Genomic DNA, 11258 nt, shown 5'->3' on the forward strand with positions numbered 1-11258 from the left:
CCCCCTCCTGTAATACCCTTTAACTATGAAATACAATCATGCAATAACACTATGAAATACAATCAGAAATAACTATGAAATACAATCAGAAATAAAACATAAGTATAATGTTCTGTTCAGAGAGCTTATTATGGGGCTTACGGGCTTATTGAACAACTAAATAGCCAGCCCTAGTGTTGAGCACATAGGAGGTACTAAATATTATTGGTTGAATTATGATGAAATAAGCTATATTTCCCCTCTATGTAAAACTGCCTTTGCAAAGATTATATCAGTGAGAGAATTGTAATTTTTTTTTTTTTTTTTGAGACTGAGTCTCACTCTGTCGTCCAGGCTGGAGTGTAGGGGCATGATGTCGTCTCACTGCAACCTCTGCCTCCCAGGTTCAAGCAATTCTCTTGCCTCATCCTCCCAAGTAGCTGGGATTACAGGTGCGCGTCAGAACGCTGGGCTAATTTTTTGTGCTTTTTTATTTTTTAGTAGAGATGGAGTTTCACCGTGTTAGCCAGGATGGTCTCGATCTCCTGACCTCCTGATCTGCCCACCTCAGCCTCCCAAAGTGTTGGGATTACAGGTGTGAGCCACCACGCCCGGCCGAGAATTATAATATTAATAGTAAGCCAAGCTAACTCACTCCCCATCTTATCTTTTCCTTAATTACTCCTGGGCTATTGGGCAAAGCTACCTTTGGAACACATTCAGGCTATAGTTTAAATGATAATAGGACTTGCCCCAAACTCAACCACTTTTGTAAAGCTAATGGGAAGCCATCAGGCTGGGGGGACAAGAACAGCCTGAGTCCAGCTAAGGCGCAGACATAAACGATTGTCAGCCACTATTGCCAAGGTTATAAGACATGCAACTTCCCCAGTTATTCCTGCAGATAACACCACTATTGTAGATCGGCCTTTGGAGATATCTTTCCCAGTTTTTTGCATGCGTGTCTGACACCCATGGTTCCACCTAAACCCAATGCCTCCACCTTAGTGCCAACCTCTCTCCTGTAGCCTCACCCAGAAGTAACTCATCTGCTTGAAGACAGCTTCAAACCCCTATAATTTCATCTCCACCCCAATCAATCAGCAGCAAGCACCTGTTACCTGCCCTCCCATCCCTTCCCCCAAACTGCCTTTGGAAACCGCTGACCTATGAGCTTTGAATGAGACGATTTGTGTATGAACATCTCCCACGTGGTGTGGCCAGCCTCGTGTCTATTAAACTCTTTCTCTACGGCAGTGCCCTGGTCTCTCTTTATGCAGTGGGCAGGAAGAACCCCTCGGGCGGTTACATGTGTACCCATTTTCATCCTGCATTATAATCTTCTCTGTCCCTTCCATACAAGCAGCTTTTACTATACCAATTTCATGTTTATTATTAATGGCCTTTTCTTCACATTGTGATGTAGGATATGGAATTAGAAAAACTAAGTAGAAAAGAGAGAGGGCAAACTTATCACTGTTCATCGCTCCCCCAGGGACTGGCAGGAAGAGGAGGGGGGGGCATGCAGGGGCGGAAGCATTTACGTTCACAAGCTGTCTGTAGATGTGGCTTTCATAGATTAAGGAATATCCGCCCCAAACAATGGATCATTTATAACACCCGATAAACTACTCAGAATAGGAAATGTACTGTGAACCCAGAATTGAAACTAATATATGAGTCGATCTAGGTTTTTCTAAAATGTGTTCTAAGGAGCATGGGCCAAAGAATGTGATCCCAGAAAAAGCAGGTTCCATGGACACTTAAGTTACAAATGCTCCGTGCCATATCCCCCTCTTGGAGATCCACAATGCTCTTAAAAACTTGGTCAGTAAAAAGATCTGTTTATTTTTGTTTAACTCAGTGTTTCTCAAGGTTACTGCATCCAGAGTTTCCCATTTATTTATTTTTTTATTTTATTTTTTTTTTCTGATACAGAGTCTTGCTCTGTCACCCAGGCTGGAGTGCAGTGGCGCAATCTTGGCTCGCTGCAACCTCCGCCTCCCAGGCTCAAGCAATTCTCCTGCCTCAGCCTCCCCCGTAGCTGGGACTACATGTGGACACCATCACGCCCAGCTAATTTTTTTATATTTTTAGTAGAGACAGGGTGTCACCACGTTGGCCGGGCTGGTCTGAAGCTCCTAACCTCACGTGATCCGCCTGCCTCGACCTCCCGAAATGCTGGGATTACAGGCGTGAGCCACCGCGCTTGGCCTTCTCTTTTATTTAATATGATTCTCAACATCTCACACAATTAGTTTCAGATAACTGTACTTTGAGCTACTTAGAGCTTCATTCATTGTGTCTTACAGCAAGGACCAATGGGAGGAAGTTGTAGGAAGACATTGCTGTTCCTTATACTTAGCTGAAAGTAAAGAGCTGGGGCTGCTTAAAGGTAGGGTGTGCTTCCTGGGAAGGTGGTGAGGCTCTTGGGCCACTCAATTATCTGTAAGGGATGCTGTGCCTTAGTTACAAGGAGGGGCTGGATCGTGGAGATTCTGCTATTTTAAAACTTAACAAAATAACTCTTCCATTCTGCTGGCTTGCATGTAAGACATGCAGGTATAGAGGCCGCTAGTCCCAGTTTACCCCAGATGTCTCTGTTTTTAATTTAGAATGTCCTGCTTCTGAAGAACCCCTCCATCCAGAGCAAACTGGGATGGTTGATTCCAGTGAACACCCCAACATTACAAGGAAAAGAAAAAGTGCTTTTCATTATGCGTGTATTTCAAGTCATTTTGAAATGGTTTCATGGGGAAGGCCGTACTTTGCTTATGTAAAAGGCAGTTCTTGTACATTGCAATTCTATGGGGAACTGAAACTTCATTAGGGAATTATTATTTGGGGGATAGAAATTTTCTGGAGCTTCTTTTATTAAATACCTTGTTTTTCAGTCTCTTGTTTCTGGCTACTTCATATTTCTGTATCAGAAAATAAATTTGTTATATCAAACAGTTACATATTCCTTTCCTTTTCTCTGAGGCCTATTATTTTTCTTGTTTGGTAGTGAGAAAAAATACTGTTCTGTAGTTCAATTAATGAGTGATTTCATGAAGTTAATAACGTTAACTTTGAATGAGCATTATATCAATGTCTCTGTTGCTTTTGAGCCATGGGTTGTGGCTGAAACACATTTACATCTAAAATGGTAGAAGAATAATATTACATTTATTTCTGATCAATTCTGCAACCTCGGGCGTGTTTTTTCTGCAAAGGATAGAAGATAACCAATCTCATCATTATTGCAAAGTTGTGTGTTGCCAAGTTCTGCCACTAGGGAGCAGTATCATCTATCAATTCACTCTGGCACTGCGCTTTGTATAGTCTGGATGAATGGGATGTTCGTTACGAAATGAGAGGGAGAATACATTTTATACACTAGCAAACACAGAAAACCCTGGCAACATTACCATAGTGGAATAAACCTTGGCTCTGGTCTTGTGACTACTTGCTGATGGCCTTGAGCAAGCCACTTCCCTTCCTTATGTAAAATGAGAGAATTGACCCAGATTAAACTCATTTCTGATTCTAATTTCTTCAGCATCTAAACTCGTCTAAAAGCAAACTAGTATAAAGGTCTTTTGATGGCATTTTGTGGAATTCTACTTTGCTTCTTTTCAATCAGCTCGTGTTTCTGGATATACATGTTCACTAGCCTAGGCATAATTTTTTTTTTCTTTTCTTGGAGGCTTATTGTAGTTCTTTATAAATTCATTCTTGTATATGGTATGCTTGTCACCTCAAAGGAAATTGGCTTAGAGTTTGTGTTTGGTTCACATCTACGGCAAAGAGAAAATGCAATTTAGCTTCCTTTATTCTCAGCTTTGGTTTCTCTAGAAAAATAAACCACGCTGTATTTGAAAATTATAGCTATTCCTATCTGAAAATAAGATTATTTCTTCTAGATCTATGGTTAATGCTAGTGGTTCGTCACACATAACTTGTATTGTAAATACTTTGCCTCCAAATAAACTTTTACCTATTTTTAGGAATGAAAAACAAAAAGTCAAGCTTTAGGGAAGATGATAAGTTCTTGAAATCTGACAGTTTACAGATAAATGTAAGAATATGATTGCAAGAAAAATGACATAAAATGTACATTAACATAAATCTATAACTGCTCAACTTGATGAAAAATATCACCATAAAATCTGCCATTACTGAACCAACCAATATGTTTTATTCTATGATATTTTTGTGAGAGTGAATAAATTATCTGAGAATGTGTTTGCATCAAAAATACAGAATTTTGTAATAAACACATAAATCATGCAAGCATTTTTAAGCAAGATGCCTGATCCTAAAATGGGGGGGGCATTCATATTAATTTCCCCCCTTCCAGCCTTGTTCTAGATATGGTACCTTAGAGCTCTGGATGGTAATGGGGAACCATCAATTATGGAAATATAGAAAAGGATGATGTAAAGAAAATAACTCTTATTGGAGAAGTCTTCTATACAACCTGCCCCACCCCCAAAAGCCTCAACCTCTCTGAGCCTTGCTTTCACTGAAGTCCTCTTTGCAGTTGTGGCCTCAGTTTACACTGGAGTCTGCTTTACAAAACGCTCATATTTTTGTAGTCATGGGACCCATATATCAGCCAACATTCGCTACAAAACAGAGCACTAACTTAATCCTACAAGATGTGTTTTTCTTGCTGTCTCTGAGGAACTGGTTTGTTTCTTGTAATGGGAAATTCATACCACATAAGGAAGCTTGATTCCCTTTTTGCTTAGACTACCAGGTAGCTCAGAGGCAAAATAACAGTTTAATTATAGAATTTAGTGATGTGTGCCTAAGGATCTTACATTTTATCTTTATTTTAATTATGTCATCTATGTAGATTTTCTTCTATTTTATTGTTCAAGTTTTTATTAACTAATATCTTTGTGAACTGAGGCAAAGGGTAGATAAACATACAGATAGAGAGGTAAACAGACATACTGATATGTGGAATAATGGTCGAAGAAATTTCTGCAGCCGAAGAAGTGAGAGTGGATGCCCATAGTGAACTATAAATCAGATGGCAATTATGAAGTTCATTTCTCATCTGATTTCTCTCCAGGACTCATTTCTTCATGAGTGCCTACAAAGCATATTATTATGACTGAGGCCATTTTTGTAACAGATGATTGTGGTCTGGTCTGTGATCCCTCAATGCTTCCCAACCCTTTCTCTGTTAAGAGGAGTGAAAATACTTTCTCTACATAATTCACCAGGTGGTGAATTAATGTGCTGGTTAAAGAAAAGGAGAAGGGCCGGGTGTGGTGGCTCACAGCTGTTAATCTCAGCACTTTGGGAGGCCGAGGTGGGCAGATCACGAGGTCAGGAGTTCGCGACCAGCCTGACCAACATGGTGAAACCCCGTCTCTACTAAAAATACAAAAATTAGCCAGGCATGGTGGAATGCATCTGTAATCCCAGCTACTCAGGAAGCTGAGGCAGGAGAATTGCTTGAGCCAGGGAGGCGGAGGTTGCAGTGAGCCAAGATCACGCCACTGCACTCCAGCCTGGGCAACAGAGCGAGACTCTGTCTCAAAATAAATAAATAAATAAATAAATAAATAAATAAATAAATAAATGGAGAACTCAGGTTAGGGGTCTTACTTAAGGTCACACAGCCAGGGAGTGTGCCTTAGGTTTTGGCTACTCTCTGTCCCCTTTTCACTGCGCTGGCACTTCCTGCTGTGAGTGTACTCCATTTGCCCTCCAGAACCTCCCTCCACCTTCACCCTTCTCTACCCTGCTCTCCGCCTGGGGACACTGACCAGTAGGGACACACAGGGACTGCCCTATCCTCTCATTTCTAGTTAGGTTTAGCCATTGGGAAGCCCCAACAGGAGGTCACAGGGAGGTTGGAGAGAGAGATGGGGCATTTACTCCCTTGGTCCCCTCCCCAAGAAGTCTGCCTGGGCTAGTGGTGTCCCGGGACCAGTGATCACTGCTCCTCTCCAGGCGGTGTGCTCCTTGTAGTTTTCAGTAACTGTCCCCTCATCCCTCTGCATCTAGGGGTAGGGCCAGCCCCGCTGCTGTCAGCCATGGTTCTTGTGCCATTCTTTGTTCTTCCCCCTATACCACAATCACCTGGTAAGTAGTTTCTTTGCCATAAATTTCCTTAAATTATCCTAATTTGAGTGTGCTGTCTATTCCCTCTTGGGACTCTAACTGGTACACTTTCCCATTAAAGAAAAGATGGCGCTAGTAATACATTATAGATGATAGCATTAGACACATGAAAGGTGAATTTGATGTGTTTCAATTATTGGGCAAAGTGAATCTTGGCATTGTCATCTTTTCCAGTCAAGCATTGTAAGAGGAGATAGGGGCACGGGGGAAAATGATGAGAGAAGCTATAATGGATACAATACCATTAAATGTCTTGGGCTTATCTTCCATTTATGCTTCTAGCACTACTGAAATTGATTATTTGCTTTTAGGCTCGTACCTGTATTTTCGTCTTCAAATTGAGTTGTTTTGCCTAAAGCCTTAAAATCTGTTTTCATATTAATTAATCAATGTTTTAAAATTAGATTTCTATCTTGTGGCTTTTCTGGGGGTATGCTTGGAGAGATAACATGATTATATATTTAATGCAATCCATATGTTTCAAAATAATTCATTTCCAAAATTGCACAACAAAGAATACGAATTTTTACAATCAATTTCTTCATCAATAAGGTAAGGCAATAAATAGGCATAAAGTATGTGAGACTCTGTCTAAAATTAGATAGTTATTTCCTGAAGTGTAATTCAATAGATCACCTTGTGTAAGATCACCCATGACCACAAACAGTAATGCGAGAGGATCTTAGAAGCAAAATAGATGTTTTCATACTTACATTTTAAACTTCGATTAACATGACTTTACCTTTAATGTTTTGGCTTCTGACGTCCTTGGAAATGGGTTTGTCCACCTGTACAAGACAATGAGGCACCATTATCTCTTCAGTTGTGACTATGACACTATCTGATGTCTTGACACTCTCTGTGGTTAGGTTCCCAAGGATAAAGCCGTAAGTCCCTGGGCTCTCTGGTTTTCAATGTATGGTTGGCTGTCAACAAACATGTATAAATACATGCACCTCTGCCAATGAAGGGTGCAGTGGCTTGAGTGGTGTTTGGTATAAAAACACGTGGGATTGAGAACCAATCCTGCCTCTATTGCTGGCTTTGGAAAAGACACTGAGTATATTATTAACTTCAGATTTTTCATCTTTATCATAGGAAAAATGCTCATCATTCATGTCCCTGAGTTAACATGAAGATCCATCTATGGGATCAGGTACATGAAAGCAATGAGGCAGGCAGGTCAGGGTATGGCCTCATGGGAAGGCCTGGGTTAGGATTCCACCTCCAGCTCGTGCTGACTGTGAGAACATGACAAATTACTTAGCCTCAGTTTCCTGAGGCTTAGTTTCCTTATCTGTGAAATGGAGGTAACAAAAGCACTGATACCTTTTGAGGACGGGACGACAACACGGAACACAAGCACTGTGCCGAGAACACAGGTGTCGCTAACCACACTGAATTCATGTATCACTATTAATATTATTAAAGGCATTAGTGAACTATTAAGGGGTACACAACTGGAAGACATAAAGGTGAAGAAGATGAAGATCATAAAGGGGTCCCTACGTCTTTGAAAACCTTTAAGCCTAGGTTAATATTAGGGTCTTAGTATTAGTCTTTATTGGCACCAGGTTGAGTTGGGCATGGTGGGTCAGGGGCCCATTGAATCCCCCATTACTCTTATCCTCTGTGGAACATTGAACCACAGTATTTATGCCTGGAAAGGGCGTGGCCCTTCTTCTTTTGGTTATATCTAATTAGGGGTTGAGTGTTGGTTGGATTATTTTTTTTTATCGTGGCTATTGACTTCTTCATTACACCATCAGCTTTCAATTTCTCCAGGGTTACCTTGTGGGGACTGGGGTGCCAGAGGGTTTTTTCAATGTTCTTGTGCACGCTCATCTTTTAATCTTCCCTGTGTGCCTGCCCCACAGAGGGAGTCTCTCTCAATGCTCATGCCCCATGCTGCATTGCTAGCCTGGTCATGGAGGCAGGAGAGGTTCCCATTGTCTCCGTCTTAGGTGGGATTTGCAATCTCAGGGTCTTAGGATGGGGCTCCAAGTAGTCCCAAGCAGCAGAATTAGTACAGGATTCCCCGGCCCAGGAATATTTCCTGTCCCTCCCCTGGGGCAATTCCCAACTTCTGTCAAATAAATATTTACTAGTACCTACTAATGTGTCTGTGGCAATGCTAGATTATGAGGGAACAAAGAAAAATACCAGCTTGGATTCACAGGTACATTGTAACAGATTTTTCAGTTTGGGTACTACTGAGAATTGAGATTTGGGGTTGGAAAATTCTTGTGCCTTGTAGGATGCTTAGTAACATCTCTGTCTTCTACCTACTAGATGTCAGTAGAACTCAGTTGTGACAACCAAAAATGTGACCAGACTTTGTCAAAAGTCCCCTGGGGGGCAAAAACTTTCCATGGAGAACCACTGATCACAATGAAACATGTGCCAGTTGTGGAAGACTGCATCATATGGCTTCCTTCATCAGACCCCTCCAATGGCACTGGCTACTCTCGGAGATGCAGGTCTGCGTGCGTTTGCACACTGTGTTTACCTCCATCTGACCACTTCCTAGAACATGGAAACTGCCCATCTGGGTCACTGCCTCCTCCCTTAGACTGTGGGCACTGGCTCACCTTTCAACCCCTATTGCTAAGCACAGAGCTTGGTACACAGTACATGCTCAATAAATAGAAGGATGGGCAGTGGTTTAGGGCAAGACAGTTGTCAAGACCCACCTAAGGGGTCTAGACAAGAACTGGCCTTTGTAAAAATTATTGAAGATCCATTTCTTTTTTTCTTTCTTTTTATTTTCTTTGAGACAGGGTCTCACTCTGTCGCTCCGGCTGGAGTTCACTCTGTCACCCAGGCTGGAATGCAGTGGCATGATTTCAGCTCACCGCAACCTTGACCTCCCGGGCTCAAGCGATCCTCCCACTTCAGCCTCCCAAGTAGCTGGGACTACAGGCGTGCGTCACCATGCCCAGCTAATTTTTGTACTTTTTGTAGAGATGGAGTTTCACAATGTTACCCAGGCTGGTCTTGAACTCCTGGGCTCAAGCAATCCCCCTGTCTTGGCCTCCCAAAACGTGGGGACTACAAGTGTGAGCCATCACACCTGGCTGGAGATCCATTTCACAGATAGTTTAATCTCAACATAAATGTGCAGAACTAGTAAGAATCAACTCCTAGGAATGAGATTGTCATAAAAAAGATAATCTGCTTGCCATAAATACTTGATTTTTACAACACTGATTACAAATGTGAAACTCCTCCCCCACCTCTTTTTTTTTCTGAGACAAGGTCTTGTTCTGTCACCCAGACTAGAGTGAAGTGGCATGATCACGGCTCACTGCAGCCTTGACCTCCCAGGCTCAGGTGATCCTCCCACCTCAGCCCCCAGAGTAGCTGGGACTACAGGCATGCTCCACCACGACCAGCTATTTTTTTTTTAATTTTTTTTTAGAGATGAGATGTTACTATGTTACTCAGGCTGCTACTGAGCTCCTGGGCTGAAGCAATTCACCTACCTCGGCCTCCCAAAATGTTGGGATTACAGGCATGAACTACTGCACCTGGCTAAAACTCCCTCTTCATCTGAATTGAGGCCAAACTCTTGTTGAATTTATGAGACAACTCCCCTCTGAAATTTTGCTCACCTTGCCCTATCCTTTTTCCTCACATAATTTCATTTGACTTAATGTGCTGAGATTGTAGTTCCACCTGCAAAGTGATCTAGCCAAAGGAAGAAACTTGTTTTTAACAGGAAGCTACAAAGATGATATGAAGGAATAGAAAGTGTAAGAGTAAAGGCTTAAATCCTGGCATAGTTGTTTTTTAAAAAATCAAATGAGAATTATTCTTTGTAAAAAAAAATTGTATTCATGAAGGCTTACCTATGTGAAAAGGGATTGCCAGTCATTTACAGGGAAAGTTCAGCTCAAATTTTTTAGTTCAGCGTTCTCTACTTCTTTATAACCGGACCAGAACTGTGTCTTCAGCCACTGGTCCAATCTCTCTGGAATTCTCATTTCCTGGCCACGCTTTATGCTCTGGTGATGAGTGCCCTGAAATGCTCTCCTCCCTCTCAGACAGCCCCTGGGGGACTACCCTAGATGCAGATCTTGATGATAGCAGCAAATAGTAGCAGGAAAATAGAAGAATTTTGAAGGCCAGACCGAGAAAGTCTTTTTTGTGAACAGAAGATGAACTGGGGAAAGACTCGGTCTCTTTCCCTACTAAACAGGTATTTATTTTTAAAGCTTGAGTTCAAATGATTGAAAGTTTGTTATTTTTCATTCATTTAACCAATATCTATGGAGAACCTCTTACAAAGGCACCATGGTAGGTGTTGGGGCTAAAATAGCACCTGACCTCATGGAGATGTCCTCTGTGGACTGATTGCTTTGTGCTTCAGGCTGGAAGCACAAAGACGCATTTCTTGGATCTTATTGAAGATTCATTTCTTTTCTTTTTCTTTTCTTTTTTTTTTTTTTTTTGAGACAGGGTCTCACTCTGTTGCCCAGGCTGAAGTGCAGTGGTGCTATCTCAGCTCACTGCAGCCTCGACCTCCCAGGCTCAAATAATCCTCCCACCTCAGCCTATGTGCTGGAAGCACATAGAAATACTGTGTTTTCTATGTATTACTACAACAGTGATGGATTTTATAGGTAAGATCATGAAGGCTCAGAGAGGTTGAGTAACAGACCCAAAGGCACAGAGCTTATAAAATTGCAGCTATTAAAATGGAAGTGATGATGTTCATCTTTTGAGATTTTTGTTTGTTTGTTTTTGTTTTTGTTTTTCAGATGCAGTCTCGCTTGGTCACCAGGCTGGAGTGCAGTGGTGCAATCTCGGCTCACTGCAACCTCTGACTCCTGGGTTCAAGCAATTCTCTTGCCTCAGCCTCCTGAGTAGCTGGGACTACAAGCACCCACCACCACACCCGGCTAATTTTTCTATTTTTAGTAGAGATGGAGTTTTACCATGTTGGCCAGGCTGGTCTCGAACTCCTGACCTTGTGATCTGCCTACTTCAGACTCCCAAAGTGCTGAGATTACAGACGTGAGCCCCCACGTCCGGTCACAAGAATGTTTTAAGGATTAAATATCATTCATTCTTTCAGTTCGATCTCTACTGAGAATTTTTTTCCTTGACCTTCCTTGTCCTGCATTATCATTATTTTTCAAAGTACACTT

The 11258-nt window shown here is 41.8% G+C and overlaps 1 protein-coding gene across 3 annotated transcripts in view; it reads right to left on the reverse strand.

Annotated features, from left to right (window-relative positions):
- The window catches only part of CLNK (cytokine dependent hematopoietic cell linker), a 248452-nt gene that overhangs the window by 65165 nt on the left and 172029 nt on the right, over positions 1-11258 (reverse strand). For all 3 annotated transcript variants that reach the window (XM_011513775.3, NM_052964.4, XM_017007684.2), the window contains exon 8: positions 6848-6893. In XM_011513775.3, coding sequence (XP_011512077.1) covers positions 6848-6893 — 46 coding nt within the window. The remainder of the gene's footprint in view (positions 1-6847; positions 6894-11258) is intronic.

The sequence above is a fragment of the Homo sapiens genome, chromosome 4 (assembly GCF_000001405.40).
Source record: "Homo sapiens chromosome 4, GRCh38.p14 Primary Assembly".
Lineage (NCBI taxonomy): Eukaryota > Metazoa > Chordata > Mammalia > Primates > Hominidae > Homo > Homo sapiens.